We start from the raw sequence: 21,998 nt of genomic DNA, 5'->3' as shown, positions 1-21,998 counted from the left end.
GAAATATTGAAAGAAAGAGGGCACTAAAATTATAACAAAGAAATTAGAAACTATCAAACTATATTAGGCAGATATAAAAAAAAACACTTTCTAGAAATGAGAACATAAAAATCAAAATTAGAAATTCAAGAAGAGATTAGAAAGCAGATTATACACAACTAAAGAGACAATCAATGAAGTGGAAGAGAGAACAAAAGAAAATATCCAGAAAGAAGCATAAAGAAAAAAATTATATTAAAAGAAAGGATAAGAGACAAAGGAAACTAATGGAATCTAATATACATTTTATTAGAGTTACAGAAGGAGCTCATAGAGAGAATGAAAGGGCAAAAATATTTGAAAAGTAAAAGGGCTTAGAATTTTCTAAAATTGATAAAACAATTCAAATTTAGAAATTCCAAATGGAGAAATAGGGAAGAGGAGAAAGAACAAATGGAAAAAAAAATACATCCTTAGACATAACATATAGTATTACTGCATAACTGAAAGCAAAGGAAAAATGCCTAATTCATGAAATTTAAAAAGTCAGGATAGAACTAAAATCCCTGACAACAATAACTACTAAAGCAGCAGCTAAAGGAAAGTGTGATGCTTACATTAGAAAAATAAGAAACGCTGTAAGTTATATACCTAACTACTTTGGTTGCTAGGTAAATAAAGGAAAGTATAGTAGAAGAAAAGAAGCAGTAAAGATAAGATTATTTTTCCAGGCCGGGTGCGGTGGCTCATGCCTGTAATCCCAGCACTTTGGGAGGCCAAGGCGGGTGGATCACGAGGTCAGGAGTTTGAGACCAGCCTTACCAACATGGTGAAATCCCGTCACTACTAAAAATACAAAAATTAGCGCAGTGTGGTGGCATGCACCTGCAGTCCCAGCTACTCAGGAGGCTGAGGCAGGAGAATCACTTGAACCCAGGAGGCCAAGGTTGCAGTGAGCAGAGATCGCGCCACTGCACTCCAGCCTGTGCAACAGAGCAAGACTCCATCTCAAAAAAAAAAGTATTTTTCCAAAAAATATTACAAATGGCCAATAGGTACATGAAAAGTACTCAGCATCACTAATCATCAGGGAAATGCAAATCAAAACTGAAATGAGGTATCACCTCATACCTGATAGGTTGACTATTATCAAAAAGACAAGAACTAACAAATGTTGGCAAGGAGGTGGAGAAAACGGTACCTTTGAACATTGTTGGGAGGATGTAAATTGGTACAGCCACTGTGAAAAATAGTACAGAAGTTTCTCAGAAAAGTAAAACTACAACTACTGTATGATCTAGCAATCCCACTTCTGAGCATATATCTGGAGGAAAGAAAATCAGTATCTCAGAACCATCTACATTCCCATGTTCACTGCAACACTATTCACAATAGCCAAGATATAGAAACAACCTAAGTGTCCATCAGTGGATGACTGGATAAAGAAAATGTGGCATATATACACACAATGAAATATTATTCAGTCATAAAAAAGGAAGAAAGCCCTGCCATTTGCAACATGGATGAATCTGAAGGCCATTATGCTAAGTCAAATACACCAGGCAGAGAAAGACAAATAATGTATAATATCACTCACATGTGGAATTTTTTTTAAGTTAAACTCATAGAAACAGAGTAGAATGGTGCTTACCAGGACTTTCTGGGGTAGGGAAAATGGGGAGATATTGGTGAAAGGGTACAAACTTTTAATTATAGGATAAATAAGCTCTGAGGAGAAATTTATAGCATGGGTACTATAGTTGATATTATTATATTGTATAATTGAAATTTGCTAAGACAGTAGATCTTAAGAGTTCTCATAACACCAAAAAGGTAACTATGTGAAGTGGTGAATGTGTTAGTTAACTTGATTGTGGTAATCATTTCACAATATATTTGTATATCAAATCATCAGATTACATACACAAAATATATGCAATTTTATTTGTCAATTTTATAGACAAAAAATACAAAGTAAAATTGGAAATATTTAATGTATACAATGTGAGGATTTGATATATCTCAAATATTTATGCCTCAGTAAGGCTGAAAAAAAGTATGACTACAAGTCAATTAAATAAACATTCATTAGAAATGATTAACAAAACCAAAAATTTGTTATTTAAAAGGACTAATAAAATTTATAATAGGATAATAATTGGCAAAATTGATCAAGGTAAAAATAAAAAAAGCACAAATAAATAATTCTAGAAATAAAAAAGAAAATATAATTAGCATATGTATGGTGCAGACATTAAAAAGATAAGAGGGGCTGGGCAAGGTGGCTCACACCTATAATCCCAGCACTTTAGGAGGCCGAGATGGGTGGATCACCGGTGGTCAGGAATTCAAGACCAGCCTGCCCAACATGATGAAAACCCATCTCTACTAATAATACAAAAATTAGCTAGGCATGGGAGTGGGCACCTGTAATCCCAGCTACTCAGGAGGCTGAGGCAGGAGAATCACTTGAACCCCAGAGGTGGAGGTTGCAGTGAGCCAAAATCGTGCCACTGCACTCCAGCCTGGGCAACAATAGTGAGACTCCATATCCAAAATAAAAAAAAAAGAAAAAGATAAGAGGGTCTGATAAAGGATTTGTATCCAGAATATATTGTGGGACTTCAAAAAGTTCATGGAAAAGGCATATTATTAAAAAAAGTATCCATGGATTTCAAAATTTTTCTGCACCAGAATAAACTCATACTAACTTGTTGTAACATGTCTGAACAGGACCTAGTTTTAGACACTGAGAAGGATAAGACATTAATTTGAAAAGAACCCCTATCAAAGAAACATGAATTCAGCTAAAATTGAAGCAAGAACAAACAGCTGCAGACAAGAGCAGAGCTTTCAATACAAATGTATACAAGTGGGATCAAGATCCTGAAGCATTTACTTAGCACAATCCTGTAAACAAAGCACAATCAAAGCAATGGCTACCAAGAGGTGAAAGTGGTCCAGTCAAAGCAAAAGTGAGCTTGTCAATGGCAAAGGTCATGGCAACAGTTTTTTGTGGATGATCAAGGCATTTTGCTGTTGATTTTCTGGAGGAACAAAGAAAGATAACATCTACTTGTTATGAGAGTGTTTTGAGAAAGCTAGCCAAAGTTTTAGCAGAAAAGTGTCCAGGAAAACTTTACCAGAGAGCCCTCCTCCACCACAACAATGCTCCTGCTCATTCCTCTTCTCATACATGGGCAATTTTATGAGAGTTTGGGCGAGAAATCATTATGCATCCACCTTATAGTCCTTTGGCTCCTTCTGACTTCTTTTTGTTTCCTAATTTTAAAAAATCTGTAAACAGCCCCCATTTTTATTCAGTTAGTAATGTAAAAAGACTGCATTTATGGGGCCAGGCACATTGGCTCATGCCTGTATTGCCAGCACTTTGAGAGGCTAAGGTGAGAAAATTATTTGAGCCCAGGAGTTCAAGACCAGCCTGGGAAACATAGTGAGACCCTGTCTCTTAAAAAAGAAAAAAAAAAGACTGCATTGATGTGGTTAAATTCCCAAGACCCTCAGTTCTTTAAGATGAACTAAATGGCTGGTATTATTGCTTACAAAAGTGTCTTGACCTTGCTAGAGCTTAAATTAAGAAATGAATTTTATTTTTTATTTTTATCTTTTAATTCCATTTTCCATGAACTTTTTGAAGACCTTTCATGTAAAGAACTCACAATTCAAAACGAGAAAGCAATCCAGTAAAAACGTAAATGGGCATATGCATAAATAATGAGCAAATGATTTGAACATAACCTTCACAAAAGAAGATACACAAAGAAGTACAGGAGACAGTATTCAATATCATTGGTCATTAAAACCACAATGAGATATGCCTATGCATATATTAAAATGGCTAAAATTCTTTAACATTGTTAAAATCTGATAATAGCAAGTGTTGACAAAGTGATATGGAACAACTAGAACTCTCATATATCACTGATAGGAACACAAAATGGTACAGCCACTTTGGAGCAAAATTTAGTAGTTTCTCAAAAAGTTAAAGACATGCTTTCTGTACAATACACAAATTTCACTCCTTGGTATCTACTCAAGAGAAATGAAAGCATATGTTCACACAAATATTTGTACACAATGTTCATAGCAGTCATTGCATGTAATGGCCAAAAAGTGGAAACAATCTAAATGTCTATCAAGTGAAAAATGAATAAACAAAATGTGGTATATCCATACAATGGAATACTACTCCACAATAAAGAAAAACAAACTACTGATATTTCCAACATGGATGAAAACATTCTAATGGAAATAATTAGGTATAAAAGATGAAATATCACGATTTCAATTATATTAAGTTATGGAAAAGGTAAAATTGTAGGAACAGAAACAGGTATTTAGTTGTCTAGAAGCAGAAATTGAGTACAACAGGGCATGAGAAATTTGTTGAGGTGAGAAAGGTATTCTAAAGCATATTGTAGTGTTGTTTTCATAACCAAATACATTTACCAAAGTTCATTGAACTTTACACTTAAAGTGGGTACATTTTATTGCACTTAAATTATACAGTAAAGCTTTAAGATGTGAAAAATAAAACAAGATAAGAGAATGTTATAAACAGCATTATGTCAACAAACTTGAAAATGTAGATAAAATTGTTATGAAAATTGCCACAACCAATCTTAGAAAAATAGAAAATTTTAATTTATCCTATCATTACTAATGAAAGTAAATCAGTGGTTTAAAATCTTCCTTATAGATTACATCGGATCCAGTTTTACAGGTGAGTTCCACCAAGTAGTCAAGGAAGAGATCATTTCAACCTTAAACTTATTCAAAAAAAATAGAAAAAAAAAGTTGGGGATAACACTCTCCAGTTCATTTTACAGCCTTATAAAACTTGATAGAGAAAATTAACAAGATAAATAGCACTTTGAGAGGCTGAGGAGGGCAGATCACCTGTGGTCAGGAGTTCAAGACCAGCCTGGCCAACATGATGAAACTCTGTCTCTACAAAAAATACAAAAATTACCTGGGGGTGGTGGTGCATGCCTGTAGTCCCAGCTACTCAGGAGGCTGAGGCAGAAGAATCACTTGAACCCAGGAAACAGAGGTTGCAGTGAGTCGAGATCGTGCCACTGTACTCCAGCCTGGGTAACAGAGCAAGACTCAATCTCAAAAAAAAAAAAGAAAAAGAAAAATAGAAGAAAAAATTATTTTCTAGTCTCATTCATGAAAATAGAAGCAAAAACCCTAAATAATATATTATCAAACTAAATTAAGCAATGTACAGAAATATGACTCATAATTTGGGTTTTGGGCTTTTTCCCAAAATGCAAGTTTAATTCAAATTTACAAAATCTGTTAATGTAGTTGATATGGTTTGGCTCTGTGTCCCACCCAAATCTCACCTTGAATTGTAATTTCCATAATCCCCATGTGTCAAGGGAGGTAATTGAATCATGGGGGCAGTTTCCCCCATGCTATTGTCTTGAAAATGAGTGAGTTTCACCAGATCTGATGGTTTTATAAGTGTCTGGCATTTCCCTGGCTTGCATTCATTCTTTCTCCTGTTGCCCTGTGAAGAGGTGCCTTCTGCCATGATTGTAAGTTTCCTGAGGCCTCCCCAGCCATGTGGAACTGTGAATCAATTAAACCTTCTTTCTTTATAAATTACCCAGTCTTGGGTATTTCTTCATAACAGCATGAGAACTGACTAATATATAGTTCACCACATCATCCAGTGAATAGTAGAAAAAATACATATGACCATTGCAACATATTTGAAAAAGGAGTCCATAAAATTCAACAACTATTCCTGACAAAATTTCTTAGCTACTAGGAGTAGGAAATAAGCCTCTTACCTGGATAAATGGTATCTATAGAAAACCTGGAACCATCATCATATTTGGTGGAGAAATATTGCAAGCATGCCTATTAAAATCAAGATTAAGACCATGAAGCCCTCTATCACTATTTCCATTGAATAATACATTGAAAATCTTAGCCAGAATAACAAGAAGAGGGAAAAATTAAATATATAAGCATTTAAAAAGAGAACATAAAACTCTAGCATTAGCAATTGCTAAATTATCTACATAGCACAAAAACATTTTCAGACAAATTATTAAAATTCAGATAATTTAGTAATTTTTAGATATATTAATATACAAAAGTCCATTGCAAATCTAGTTATTCATCCATAAGCGTGAGAAAATTTTTATTTAAAAAAAAAAAGATACCACTATGGTAGCAACTAAAGATATAAGGTAATGAGAAAAACATCCTACAAAAGATGTGTAAACCTTTAGGTAGAAAAGTTGAAAAGCTATTTAAAGGGTACTGGATACAGTAACAGGGATGAGTCACATTTGGGAGAGTCAGTAAAAGGGCATACAAAGTTGGAAATATTTGTGTTGACTCTTGAGGATGAGTAGGAATTTTCCAGGAGAGCAAAAAGGGAGAGGGAGTAAGCAAGGCTCACCAAGCAGAGGGAGCAGAATGGGGATAAGAAAAGGTGTAAAACACTCCAAGAACCCTATTCTCACAGCCATACCCACTCAACAAGGATGTGCTGAAAATGCCATCAGTTGCCTCACCTCTGAACTCTTGGACTGTCCCATCCTGCGGCCTCCCATCATCTCTATTAACCTATTTCCTGTCCTTGAAGGTCTAATTCAAATTGCTTTCCCTATTCCTCTATCCCTAAACACTGTGATCTATCTCCCCACTCTTTCCTGAGGACACTTTTCACCTCTCATTTTAATGGAATGCCAGCTGCATTCTTCTGTTTACCAGACAGCATTTCAAATATTTCTACTACTTTAGCAAAACAGCAAGCTAATAATTGAGTGGGCCCTCAGCAAATGTGTTTTAAATGGGCTATCATTTAAACAGTTCATTTTAAGGGCTTCTATAGAGCTGTTCCTTGGAGCAGATTGTGATCTGAAGGAAATCTGCGTTGTTGTTGGTTTTGTTTTATTACATGACATCACAGTGAATGGCCTTTGTCTAACCCACAGGGAGACCAAAAGACAATACCTGTAAAACTTGGCCTCTGGATAAACTCCATCCTGTGTACTTCAAAACAACATGGATAATCTCCCCTCTCCCACCTCACTCCACTCTAAACAAAATTCCCAGTGTAGAAATAAAAGCAAGTTATTCTGCTGGTTAAAATGCTAGTTTGCACATCTGCATGTGTGCAACAAAACAAGCTCATCCGGACATGCACAAAAATTAGTTTTGATATTTACTGTGGCTGTACTCTCTCTATATCATTAAAAATTAATAATTTTGTACAATTCAGAATAAATAATGATGTTTTCCTCCAGGTTCAGAGAAAGTATGAAGTAGGAGGAAGAGCACTGAACTTGGAATTCCCAAAAAGATACTACTGTGGAATTGGCGAAATCTCCTAAATCTTTTCCTCATCTTCAGGGAGGTGATAATGTCACTTACCCAATATAGCTCATTTGGCTAACAGGGCAATCAAATATGCCAGTGGCTATTTGAGTTTAAGAAGTGTAAAGCTCTGTTCCCATGCCATGTGCTATCATTATTACTGAGACTAACCAGCAGAAACTGACACAACATTTCCCTTCTCGTGAGCTTGAATCCTTTGACGCTGTTATCTAAAGAATTAGCTCTGTGAGGCATGCCCAGAAAGTTCATTGAGAAAATCACTGGTTTAGACAGCTAAGACTAATCCACTAGTGAAATTTATCATCTTCCTTCAGCATCTTTCAACAACATCCAAAAGTCTATATTTTAAAAGATAACCACTGCCTTAAATAAATATAATTGTGTTTGTATTGGTTACATTATCTGGTGGCACTGTTTTCAGTGTAACAAATCATCAAAATGCATCCTCCACATATTTCCAGGGTCCAATTAAGTTGAAAGATTATCCAGTAGCTCTTGTTTTCCTCACTACTTAATAGTTATCAAGAATTCTCCTCAGCGTTACTGCTCTTTTTGAATTTGTCTAGCAGGTCTTCGGGGTTTTACAAAAAGAAGAAGAAATCCACCCCCAACACACACACACACACACACACACACACACAAACACACACACACACACACAAAAGAACCCCTCTTCGATCAACACATGTCTGACATAGGTGGAGTCTTTCTTTTAGTGCCTGTTAAATGTTTAGCTTTTGGAGATAGAATCATCCCCCATTATTCTATTATATTCCTCCATCATTCATTTAGACAGTGAAATACTATGCTACCTTTTAAAATGAGATTGAGGATAATGTTTACTAAGGTGGAGATTCATTATATGGTTAAATGTTAAATTTTTAAAGCAGCATGTTATGAAGCAGTAGTGTGGTGCGATCTCATTCTCGTAACAGGAAATGTGAGCTTGTGGTGTCACGTTGCTAAAAGTCTGGATGCAAGCAAACCTGGGCAATGATTAAGTGCATAGATATTAGTGTCAGATTGACAGGGATTCAAATCCATTCTCTTCCTGGCTAGATGAACTTGGACAGATTGTTTAATCTTTCTCAGTCTCACTTTCTTCTTTAAAGAAAATAATAATGGAATTGGCTTCCTGAGGTTGCTAGGAGGATTAAATGGATAAAGTATATTAAGCATTTAGCATAGTTCCTGCCCCACAGTAGGTGATCTGTAAACCATGGCCATTGTTATTATGACCTATGAGATGATACAAAATGTCGATAGTTATTATCTCTGGGTATGGGCTTAAGAATAATTTTTTTCTGTGCTTCTTTGGGCTCCATTTCCACCTGCGTCAACCACTCTAATGTGTTAACATGTGCTTTTTTGTATATGTATATTGCAAAATAATTATTGTTTTATACAATATTTTGTAATTATGTGAAACTATCATACATCTCATTGATCTTACTTTTCTCATTAAGCACTATGTTTTGAAGATCCACAATTCACAATATGTTGCTGTGTGTACCTCTAATTCATTCTTTCTAAATGTTGCTTAGTACTCCAGAATGTGTGTCCTCAACATTTTATCTATCTGCTCTCTCAGTTATTGGACTCATAGGTTACTTCCAAGTCTCTAATGCTACAAGTAACATGTAATTAATATCCTCATGCACATCCCCTGAAGGATCCATACAATATTTTCTTTGAAATACATACCCAGAGGTATAATTGCTGGGTTATAGAATATGCATTTTCTTAATTGGCTAAGTAGTGACAGATGCTTTCCAAAAAGGCTGCAGTAATGACACAGTGACTCCATCAGCAATGGTAAAATTCCTGTATGTGGGAACATCTCCACCAACACTTGGCCTTATCCATCTTTCTAACTTCTGCCAGTCTAAAAAGTAAAACATGAGACAACTTGTTGTTATTTTAATTTACATTTCTCAGATAACTCAGAATTTGGGCATCATTTCTTTCATATGTTTAGTAGTAATTTGAGCTTCCTCTCCTGTAAATTGCCTGTTGGTATCCTTTGCCTATCTTTCTGCTGAAGTTGCTGCCTTTCTCTTGTTGATTTGCAGCAGTTACTTGTGTTATTCATTTGGCCCTTTTGGGTTTTAGACATTTCTAATACTTTTCCCATGTTGACATCTGTGTAATAAATTTGCTCATGATGTCTTCTTCAAACAGAAAGCCATAATGTTGATGCTCAAAGTCATCAACACTTTTCCTTATGAGTATGCCTTTTAAACTTTTGTTAAAAAGGTTTTCCCTGCCCTAAGCTCAGTCACTAAGATATTCTCCTACATCATACTCCATTAACTGTATAGTTGTACCTTTTCCTTTTAGATCTTTAATTCAAGTGGGGGCCACATTCGTGTGTTATGTGAGGTAAGGATCTAGTTTACTCTGTGTATAGTGAGTCAATTTTCCCAATGTAAGCTGCTAGATACTTATGATATTCTCTTTATCATACTTAAGTTTCCACCTATATATATATATGTGTTTGTGTCTGAGCTCTGTGTCCTATTTTATTGGTCTGTTTATCTAGGGTATTTGGGTTTTTTTGTGTTTTGTTTTGTTTGCACCAGTGTAGCACTGTTTTTGTTACTGTGACTTTGTCATATGTTTTCATGTCTAGTAGGACTAGCCCATTCTCTACTTATATTTTTTGAGCTTGACTTAGCTGTTTATAAACTTTTATTCTACCACATAAATTTTAGAGTAAGTTTTATCATGTTGCTCAAAAATATATAAGTAGAATTTTTGATGGGATTGTATCAAATTTACAGATTAAATGTTATTTTTTTCCAGTATAATATTGCCTCATCCAAAAGCTCAGTAATTTTCTTCACTTATTCAGATCATCTTTTCTGTAGATAGCTTTTATATTATTTTATTAATAAAATTAGCTCCTATATATTTAATAGACTTCTTAGTTGTGGGAATGATATGTTATTATCTATTATGTTTTCTGATTTGCTATTGCTAGCACTAAAAAAAAAAAAGGATTGATGTATCCAACAATTTTATCCAGTTCTCTTATTGGTTCTAACACTTTGTTTTTGAAATCTGTTGGATTTTTCTGGATAAATGATCATATCATATGCAAATGAGGAAAGTTTTCTCTCTTACCTTCTGCATTAGTCAGCTCTCACTAAGTTATGCTGTGATAACAAATAGCTCCCAAAACTCAGTGACTTATAACCACAAACATCTGTTTCTCACTTATGTAACATGTTGAATATATATTGGCTGCAGCTTCCTCTGTATATTTTCTTATTCTGGGATCTGAACAGAAGAAGCAGCCCTGGTCAGGAACACAGTATTCTCATAGCAAAGGAAAAATGCAAAGAAACCAGCAGATCTACACAATGACTTTTAAAGCTTCTGCTCACAACTAGCACACTGTCAAACTCATTCATATTCATTGGCCAAAACAAATCCCATGGTTAAATAAAATGACGTAGGGTAAAAAGTGTTCTCTTCTCAGAGGAAGGCTCTAGAAATCACAAGGCAATGGGCAAGCAAGTGCAAAACTCTTGCAGGAAAGGTGGTAGGGGATAATTGGAAATAACAATATAATTTACTACTCTTTCTAACTCTCATTCTTATTTCTTTGTCTTTCCCTTAGCTTTAACCAAAACCCCTAATGGTAATAGTAAGCATCCTTGTCTTAACTTTAGCATAGAGAAAATGAGTCTAAAATTTCTCCATTAAGTATAAGAGTTACTATAAATTGTTAGTAGAAATCATTTTTACCAAGTTAAGGAAATTCCCTACTTTTCCTAATTCCCTAAGAGTTTTGATCATAAATTTGTGTAGAACCATATCAAATTTATATTTTGGGGGTTGACTGATACAATCATATAGTTTTATTCTCCATTAGTCTGTTAATACACTAACATACATAAATGAATTTTCTCTATTGAACCATCCTTGCATGTCTAAAATAAACCCTAATAGGTCAAGAGTTCGAGACCAGCCTGGCTAACATGGTGATACCCTGTGTCTACTAAAAATACAAAAATTACACAGGCATGGTGGTGCATGCCTGTAATCCCAACCACTCAGGAGGCTCAGGCAGGAGAATCATTTGAACCCAGGAGGTGGAGGTTGCAGTGAGCTGAGATCACATGCCACTGTACTCTAGCCTTGGCAACAGAGTGAGAATCTGTCTCAAAAAAAAAAATACAAAATGAGCCCTATTTGATCTTAAGGTATTTCTTTAAATCTACAATTAGTTTAGCTAATATATTATGTATAATTTTTTTATGTATAACATTATACATTAAAAAGTGAGCTATTATTTTCTTCATTGTATTATCCTCATCTAATTTTGGAATGAGGCCATGCTTATTACACATAAAATGATGTGTATAGATTTTGCCCTTTTTCTGTTTTACAAAAACAACCTGTATAACATAGGAATTAATATTCCTTGAAAATTTAGTAGAACTTTCTAATAAAACCATCTGGGTCTAGAGTTCTATGAGTAAGGAGGATCTTTGTTTATCATTTCAAATTATTTAATATTCATTGATATATTCAAATTATATATTTCTGCCAAGCGTGGTGGCTCACGCCTGTAATCCCAGCACTTTGGGAGGCCGAGGCAGGTGGCTCACCGGAGGTCAGGAGTTCGTGACCAGCCTGGCCAACATGGCAAGACTCCATCTCTACTAAAATACAAAAATTAGCCAGGCATCATGGCTCATGCCTGTAGTCCCAGCTACTCAGGAGGCTGAGGCATGAGAATCACTTGAACCCAGGAGGCAGAGGCTGCACTGAGCCAAGATCACGCCACTGCACTCCAGCCTGGGTGACAGAGTGAGACTCCATCTCAAAAACAATATATATATATATTTCTTATTTATACCAGTTTATTATACCTTATTTATACCAGTTTTGGCATTTAATCTTTTTTCTAGGAATTTATCCACTTTAAGTAGATCTTCAAACTTACTGTCCTGTAGCTGCTTAAAGCCTTTGAAGTCTAGCCTTTCAAGGAAGTAATCATATCATGTGCATGGCCCTGAAGCTCCCTGTACACTTTCAATGCTTTACAAATAATAATAATAATTAACAGGCACTATCCGATGAATAGAAATCTACCAAAAATATTAGAAATTATCTCCAAGAGTAGTAAGGGTAATTTTTATGTTCTAACATGTTGTACATTCTTTTTTGTATAGTCTGAAGGTTTTACACAGACAAAATGTTGCTTTTCTATCATCAGGAGTAACTTAAACTATTTCTCTTTTGTACTGAAATTAATCTATAAAACTTACCTAAGTTCAAAATTACTGTCACATTCCCATGCCCCATTGAAATATGGTATTTGATAAATCCACAGGCAGACCTCTTTCTTGGGTGCTGAATTCATCTATAAACAAGTAGAACCCTTCAAGGGAGAAATCGTAACCTGTACATGGCCCTGAAGCTCCCTGTGTACTTCTAATATTTTGTAAAGAATAATAATTAACAGATACTGTCTAACCATTTTGGATTTATACCAATTTATTTTACATAAAAGGACATTTTAACATAGCCACCTATGGGTACAATTTTAAAATTTTGCAATTGAACTCTTGGAACATGAGTTGTTTGTTCTGCCTGTCTTTTTCCTGCCTTTACCCTCCACTCAAGTATGGGTTTTATTAAGCAGTGTATATTTCACCTAAGGCCTTGAAAATGTACTTTTGGAGAAAAAGGCTCTTCTTGGTAGTCTGTGGTGAGTAGGACCTTATTTCTGTTTGGTTTTTAGTGTGTATTATGTGTGGGCCCTGAGGATTCAATGAAGCTGTTTTCTTTGAAAAGCTGTCAGGCAACACAAATTAAATCCAGTAATGGTATAGACACAGCCAAACAAGTTCAACTAGTTCACATACACTTGAAAGCAAATGAAAGAGAGTATGTATAGGGAGAGATTTTTACCGTCTGCCTCTTCTACTAAATGTCTTCAGTTCTCCAGGGAAATGTCTAATAAATAGATCAGGTTGTTGTGAGATTCAAATTAGTTAACGCATTAGTTAGATGCACTTAGCACAGTCCCTGGCATACAATAGATAATAAATGGAAGCCATTATTATTTGTACACATATGGAGGTGGTTTTACATATACTGCTCTGGACTTTGTTTTCCTAGTAGCACAGACATTCCTCTGAGTGTAAGGACTGAGCTCTAACTCCCTCTGTAACAGGTAATTCTACAATAGCACAGATACATCCCCATTTAGTCAACCATTCCCCTGTTCATGAGCATTCTGGTTGATTCCAGGTTTTGGCTTTACAAATGCTACAGCAACCTCTTTGTCCCCCTCAGAACTTCAAGGCAGCCAGTTCTGCCCTTCCCCATTTGCTCAGAAACTGCCACTCTCCCAAGACACTTCCTCAGATAGGGGTGCCCCTGCAGGCCACCTCCACATTCCTGCCCTCTTCCTCAGTCCTTCCCCAAGCAGGCTGGCCAAGCTGGAGCAGACTTCCTAAGCCCCTGGGAGGACTGGCTAGGAGCTGAGATGTGGAAGCCAAAGCCCATGATAACAGTCATCCTGAAGGCATGCTGCAGTCATGACTCCTGGTGTAGGAATGAAGGCAAGACTGGTGGAACCAAGCCAGTAAGCCATTTTGACTGTGATGAGAAGACAAGAAACTCCCAGGCAGCTTGTGGATGTACCACGGCTGTTGTAATCCACCATTTCGAGATCAATTCTGGCAGGGGCACCGGGGAGTCACAGATCTGGCCTGTTTTAGGAATTCACCTCTATAATGATACCTTGTATTGGCAGAGTGACGTCTATGTCTCAGAAGATTTTCTTAGCTCTGTTATATCATTATGGGTTTTTTGACACCATGGCACCCAGCAACTGAGCTATGATTTGGCTGTGCTGGTTAAGTTAACTGAAATACTAGATCCAGCCACCTTTTAGCTGGGTGTTTTATGTTGTAAAGGCAGATTAAAATGCTCCCCTAAAGTTCACATGAGCTTGTCCAGTCCCTATTGGATATTAGAACCAGCTGTTATTGAACCTGTATGTGACTGATGCTGTTCAAATGTTATCTGACAATCTTCCCTGAAGCCCAGGAAATGAACTTCGTTCATTTGTTTTTTATTTATTTCTATTTTTTAGAGATGGGGTCTCACTCTGTCACCCAGGCTGGGCACAGTAGTGTAATCATGGCTCACTACAACCTCAAATTCCTAGACTCAAGCAATTCTCCTGCCTTGGCCTTCCAGGTAGCAGGGACTATGCTGAGCTAACTTTTTAATTTTTTGTAGAAACAGGGTCTCATTATGTTGCCCAGGCTTCTCTCAAACTTGTGGCCTCAAGCAGTCCTCCCACCCTGACCTCCCAAAGTGCTAGGATTATGGGCATGAGCCACCACGCCTGGCCCATTATCCCATTTTGTAGATAAAGCCATTGATGCTTAAGAAAGTAAAGCCTGAGGACATTTACCTGATGAGGAGTGAAGCTGGGATTCAAACCCAAGTTTGTGAACGCAAAACCTATGTCTTTTCCCCTCTCACCACCATTCCACAACTAAACCACCAAAGCCCAACTTTTTTGAAGAACTCTTTCTGAAACTTTTAAGGAAAAAGCCACTTTCCCATAGTTAACTAGGATGCATCTGTATATGGATCCTATTTCACAGTTCTTTCAAACTAGAAGCCAGATTATTTCTTATGCACCTATCCCAGCTGTCGGGTGTAAACATGATCATATTGATGACGTGATGATGATGATGATGGTGATGGTGATGATAACAGCTTTAATTTACTGAGCACTCACTCCATGCCCAGCACTTTGCTTAGCGCTTAACATTCTCGCACTTACTCTTGATTCTTACGAGAATCCCAGTGCCCAAAAAAACGTGCACAACTAGGACACAGCACACCTGAGACTTGGCCTTGGGCTCCTGACTTCAAAGCCTGTGCTCCCAACCATGTCACAGCACTGCTGCAGCAGTGGAATCTTGAACGCGTAGTTTCATCTAGCATAGGCTACCGTAAGAGAAAGGAGACATTGGAAATACTCCACACGCCTTTCCTGCACTGACAGCCATTCTTAGATTTAAGCATTTTATTCAGCAGGGCTCAGATGTATTTAGACACTTTAAGTTAATCATTACCTGTCACCATTTATGTGTACTGTTCCTCATCAGCAAGCACATGTAGACGTAGCTGCCCTCTGCTTTACATCACATTTTTTATTAGGCAGCCATAATATTAATAGAGGAGCTCTCCTGCCAGAAGAAGAACATTTTTGTGGTGTTGAAGATAATATAGGTGCTCAACCTAAATTAACTGGATAATTGCTTCAGTGTTTTCAGTAATTTATCATCATGGGCTCCCAAGCAGCTCAGACAGACGTCGGTTGTGGCTAAGATGACACTGTCCCCCAATAAATCAAGAAAGAGGATAACAGAATTCTGCAAAACACCCACAAACTCCCCAAACCTGAATTTTTTATCTTCATCCATCTTCACCATGAATTGCCTCCAGTCATCTCTGGCTGGAGCAGAGATGTCGCCTGGTTATCCGACTCCTCACCTCACTATCAAAGGTCATGATTGCAGGGATGTGTATGGCTGTGTGCCAGTCCCTGTGAGAGCCAACTTGGTGGTGGCAGCACATACCAATGGCATGGTACTTCAGCTTGAATTGACAGTAGGCTTTATATAAGTGGAATTGTAGGCTCTTACTAGCAAAGCTACTCATAATCTCTACTCTTTTCTTGCTACAGTAAGTGTGAGAACCCAGTACAGAGTCCAGTAAGCATCACTTTTAGTTGGTGTGTATTAGGCAGAGTTCTCCAGAGAAACAGAAGCAATAAAATATAAATATATATAAGATTTATTATAAGGAAATGGCTTATTGAATTATGGAGGCTGAGAAGTCCCACAATCTGCCATCTCAAACTGGAGACTCAGAAACACCTGTGATGACCTTCCAGTCCAAGTCCAAAGGCCTGAGAACCAGGAACACTGATCATAAAAGGATAATGTGAGCCCCTGTCTGAGGGCAGAATACCAGTGTCCCAGCACAAAAAGTCAGGCAAAGAGAGTGAATTCTCCCTTCTTCCACCCTTTTTGTTCTATTCAGGTCCTCAGCACATTGGGTGAGGCCCACATATATTGGAAAGGACAATCTGCTTTATTCATTCTACTGATCCAAATGCTAATCTCACAGACACACCCAGAAATAATGTTTAACCAAATATCTGGGCATCCCATGGTCCAGTCAAGTTGACACATAAAATTTACCATCATAGCAATTTGAGAACTTCACCTTCACTAAGATGAGGTAGCACTTTCTCATTCTGCCTTTTACCATCCAATATTCTATAGATGCTATCTACTACAGGTGTAGGTAAGGAGGGAAGAGAGAAAAAGCCAAACACATGTAGAAACCCATTGCATATGCTACCCTAATTTTGGAGAATCCCTGTGTGGACAGACATTTTAAAGGCTCTGAAGAGTCCTGCAGTACAGACACATATTAACTTTGTTTTACCCAGTGTTTCCCTATTTGAGCACCCAACTGTTTTCGAGGAGGAGATTACCATTATGGCTATAAAGCCACATTCTCCCATGACCATGTCCCCTCGATTCTGGGGCATAAAATTAAAAATATAGAACGCTAAGACCAGTAGAATCTTAAGGGATTTCATTGACCTCATGGCATCCTCCCTCCCCTGCCCTTGAGAGTCCAGGAATTAACCTGACCCAGAAAAGTTTTCTCAAAGAATTTACAGAGCCCCAAACTGACAACAACTGCCTGAGATCTCTTCCTCCAATTCCAACCTACTCCTGTCACACAACATGATTTCCTATATCACGAAATGGGAGAGAACAGAGAGGAGCTTATCAAGAGAGACGATAGATGTCGTCTGTTAGGTCCTGTTAGGTCTCATCTCATCTTTTAATATTGCAAATAGGCCATTGGCAGCCTCCTTTGAACATTTACTAGATCGCAAAGATTCTGAGTTTCTATGTAGATGGCAGAAAGAATACATTCTTTACCTCTCCCACCTATCCTCTTATTTACAAGGCCTGAAACAAAGTCCTAAAATCTAAAGACATATATTTAACAAAATATTATAACACCACTAAAAGGAAAGCCATTATAGAGCCATTTAGAGCCATTTCATCCTTGACAAGCTCCCTGGCAGAAAGTGAAGATGGAAGCAAAGTCTGAGTTTTCTGATCCCTCTGAGTCCAGTGCCAATTCTGTTTCACTCTCTGACCTCTGTATGATTAATGACATTAGAAATCAACAAATGCCCAATGCTATCTGACAGAGCACAAGTGTTCCACAGAACCCAGCTTGATTATTTTACCCTATCCAGACATTCTTTAAAGGCAGAAGTCTAATAATTCTTTAGATATTTTAACTTTAGTTTTAGTTCCACAAGTAATTCGTATGACTCAATTCTACTTTTAAAAGTTAGAATATTATGGATATAGCTAAGGTCCTCTTTCACCAATATCCTCATCCTAATCCCTTCCCCATATTCCCAGAGGTAGTGAGGTCCCCCACACACATACACACACTTTTACATGCACACAATATGCATATTCATAATTCACATAAAACATATAATATGGGTTTGGATTTTTTGCATTAATGGTGTCATACTGTTCTGCAACTTGCTATTTTCAGTGCAAAATATGTTTTGAGACATCTATCATATTGATATATGTTTAGTCATCCATTTTAAGTACTGTATGGCATTTCCTCTTATCATTTCACCATAATTATTTAGCTATTCCCATTCTGTAAGATCTAAAGGTCATTTCCACTTTGGGCCTCTTAAACGCCACGCAGCACTGAATGTCCTTATCATGGTCCCCTGTGCAAAGGCAAAAGATTACAAGGATAGATACCTAGAGATGTTACTGCTGGGCCACAGGGTGAAATTTTATTTTCAATAGATGCTGCCAAGATGTGAGTAAAGAACTCTCATCTGTAAAGGAGCCAAGGGAAGAAATCTCCACAATGGCTCAAGGAAGTAAAAAAGAGGATGAAGAAGGTGGTTACGCTAGCTGCTTTGGAGAAGCCTGTGAGAATTAGTTCAACCATTGTGGAACACAGTGTGGTGATTCCTCAAGGATCTAGAGCCAGAAATACCATTTGATCCAGCAATCCCATTACTGGGTATATACCCAAAGGAAGATAAATCATTCTACTATAAAGATACATATACGTGAATGTTTATTGCAACACTATTCACAATAGCAAAGACATGGAATCAACCCAAATGCCCATCAATGATAGACTGGATAAAGAAAATGTGGCACATATACACCATGAAATACTATGCAGCCATAAAAAAGGAATGTGATCATGTCCTTTGCAGGGATGTGGATGAAGCCATCATCCTCAGTAAACAGAGGAACAGAAAAACAAATACTGCATATTCTCACTCATAAGTGGGAGCTTAACAATGAGAACATATGGACACAGGGATGGGAACCACACACTGGAGCCTGTCTTGGGGGCAGGGGGATGGAGAGCATCAGGATTAATAGCTAATGTACTCAGGGCTTAATACCTAGGTGATGGGTTGATAGGTGTGGCAAACCACTATCATGTGGCACATGTTTACCTATGAAACAAACCTGCATGTTCTGCACATGTATCCCAGAACTTAAAATAAAATTAAAAAAAAAGAAAAGACTAAAGCCATGGATCCTTTTTTTTTCAATCCAAAAGCTGCCTTCTACCTTTGTGTGCTGTCTTTTTCCCTTCCAGACTGTCGTTGGTATTCTGTTTAACTTGGAATTTTGCTCTTAACTGCCATAGAATGAGTATGTGCATGCATATGCGTGTGGAAGACAGACTTTTATCATTGATTTTTTTTAAATAGGAAAACTAAACAACAACTAAAAACTTTCTTTCTTTTTTTTTTTGAGACGGAGTCTGGCTCTGTCTCCCAGGCTGGAGTGCAGTGGCGCGATCTCGGCTCACTGCAAGCTCCGCCTCCCAGATTCACGCCATTCTCCTGCCTCAGCCTCCCGAGCAGCTGGGACTACAGGCACCCGCCACCACACCCGGCTACTTTTTTGTATTTTTAGTAGAAATGGGGTTTCACCGGGTTAGCCAGGATGGTCTCGATCCCTGACCTGGTGATCCACCCGCCTCGGCCTCCCAAGGTACTGGGATTACAGGCGTGAGCCACCGCGCCCGGTCCTAAAAACTTTCTTAGTGAGAAAGAGGTAGGTAAATGACCACCAGTTCACATACTGTTAAATATATAAAATGTACATAATCCAATTCTGGAAGGATATACAGTTTCTGAAACGTTAATGGTAGCCTTTGAAGTATAGAATTCTAGGCTGAAAGGAGTAGAAAGAATTTTAGTTTTTATCATATACCTTCTATCATGTTTGATCTTTTCCTTTAAGATCTTGTTCACTTATTTTAATCTTAAAATTAAAAAATAATACTAAATGTCTTCCGAGCATGTCTCTACAAGGTCCTTAGATAATGAAGTTATTGGTGGGAATGTCAAGCACTGATATGCTGTCATATCTTAGGTTCTTTGGTGCCCCTCAAATTATACTGTTTGTCATCCTTGCTGGCTGGGTGTGCCAAAGCATAGGCTATAAATAATACTCTCAGTTTAAAGTCAAAAAGTCATAAAACATTGTTTTACCTCTTTGACTCCTCATATCAAATCTAAAAAATTTCCACCTTTGAGAAAATTCTATTCCAAGCTATAATTGCAAAAGTACTCTACCCTAATTTCAGTAGCAGACATCACTGAAATGAGGCAGGCTGAATTCATCACTGAATTGTGAGGCAGACACCTCACAAGTCTGCTCCTCCCTCATTTTGAGTTGGTATCAGAGTTGTGGGGGTGTTGGGAATATGAAAGGATGAGGATAGGGTGGATGGAAAGAACTGAGTTAAGCAAGAAAAGATGATCATTCCTACTTGGGGTCTACTTGGGCCTTCAAGATTTGTAGACTTCTATCTTTTGCCTTCCCATGCTTTACAAAGTTCCAACTATGCCTGCATTTCGAAGGGAGCAAGTATCATGAACAGTGTGCTTACAATTGTTATGTTTAGATAGAAATTTTAAGTCTGAGATTTTAAATGTTCTTGAGGTTAGAAAACCAATGGGATACAAATAGGTCACTAATAACATGATATCTTCTTTACAAATATCCCATTGCTCTTTAGTGCAAATCTATCACCTTTTGTGAAGAATTCGTCACTGTGATGTCATGTTCTTCCTTTGTCCCCCACTTTCTTGCTCTATTTAATAGTCTATGAATTGGCTGGCGTTTATCCTTCTCTTTCTCAGCACTGTTTAATTTTCCACCCTCTGCATGATATTTCAGGGTTCATACTCCTCTGAATGGGCCACAATTATAAACCTGGTTCCCTAATGAAGGTTATCTGGGTAATTTTAATTTTTTGCTATTATAAAAATAACCAAATAAATACTATAAAAATTTATATCTTCAAATGTATATTAGTGCATATAGGAGTAAGTATAACCATAAGATTATTTTCAAACCTTGAAATGCCAAAGCAAAGAAAATACTCATTTTAAATGCTAAATGCTAAATATTGCCAAGTTTCCATTGAAAAAGTTTATACCAATCGTTTACAACAGTGCTGATATTCCCCACATACTCACCAATGCTGAGTTTTACCAAATGTCAACATTGTCAATTTGGTGAAAGTGATTTATTTTATTTATTCTGATGAGGTTGAATATCTTTTCACGATTATTGCTTATATTTTCCTTTCTGTGAACTTCTGCTTTGTACTTTTGCTCATTTTTTAATTTTTCTGTTTTGTGCAGTGACTGGTATAAGCTATCTCTGTCTAACAGTGGCCTTTGTCATGTGTGCAGTGAATTTTTTTCTCGTTTATCATTCATCTTTTTATTTCGTCTATGGCATTTCTTTCTACTTCTAAAAATAGAAGTTTTAAGCATTGATGTAGATAGATGTACAATATTTTCCTTTAGACCTACTGCAATGAATTCTTTTTAGTTAGATATTTGATTATCTCTTCTTTTTCTGACTTCTGAAGCACATGTGGTTCTTACTGCATATTTGACAAAACTTGTACTAACTCATATTTAAATTTACATCTGTGTGTGTGTGTGTTTGTGTGTGTGTGTGTGTGTGTGTGTGTGAATCTATTCAAATAGATTAAAAGGTCCTTGAAAAGCTGGAGAAATCAAATGATTCTTTATATTCCCCACCCTACCCCACAGTGTCCAATGTCTAGTAAGGGAAAAATTTAGACCGGCAGGAATTTCAAACGAAAGCACTGCTAAGAAGAGTGCTATGAGAATCTAGAGAAATATAGGCCCCAATTGTCAAACTGACCAAAGAAACAGTAAGAGATTCCCGCAAAGGTATGAATGATCCCCAAGACAAACCCGGTCTTCATTACCTTTTGCCTAGAGCAGAGGCAGTTCTCAGTGTTCCGTGGCCTTGCCCCTGCCCAACTCTCCAAGTTTACCTTGTAGCACTCTTGCCCTTCTCTTTATATCCTGCTACCTGGCCTTCTACCTATGGCCCAACTATCCACCAGGTTAGTTTCCACCAAGGCCCTTTCCAAGAATATTCTTCTTCTTGGTTTTCACATTCCTAACTGCATCTTGTCATTCAGAC

The 21,998-nt window shown here is 37.2% G+C and overlaps 1 long non-coding RNA gene and 1 pseudogene across 2 annotated transcripts in view; one reads left to right on the top strand and one right to left on the bottom strand.

Annotated features, from left to right (window-relative positions):
* Positions 1-19,154, bottom strand: part of LOC105378208 (uncharacterized) — a 28,809-nt gene extending 9,655 nt beyond the window's left edge. The window contains exons 1-4 of one of the 2 annotated variants that reach the window (XR_944374.4): positions 19,083-19,154; positions 10,492-10,647; positions 9,070-9,250; positions 5,805-5,874 (exon numbers count right to left, since the gene is read on the bottom strand). This is a non-coding gene — a long non-coding RNA (uncharacterized LOC105378208). Of the gene's footprint in view, positions 1-5,804; positions 5,875-9,069; positions 9,251-10,491; positions 10,648-15,485; positions 15,589-19,082 lie in introns of those variants that run through there. The other variant, XR_944373.4, reaches the window with a different exon arrangement.
* RNU7-156P (RNA, U7 small nuclear 156 pseudogene) lies at positions 7,901-7,974 on the top strand (annotated as a pseudogene).
* Positions 19,155-21,998: the final 2,844 nt, after the last annotated feature.

Source organism: Homo sapiens, chromosome 5, assembly GCF_000001405.40.
Source record: "Homo sapiens chromosome 5, GRCh38.p14 Primary Assembly".
NCBI lineage: Eukaryota > Metazoa > Chordata > Mammalia > Primates > Hominidae > Homo > Homo sapiens.
This window is presented reverse-complemented; position numbering and strand designations above follow the sequence as displayed.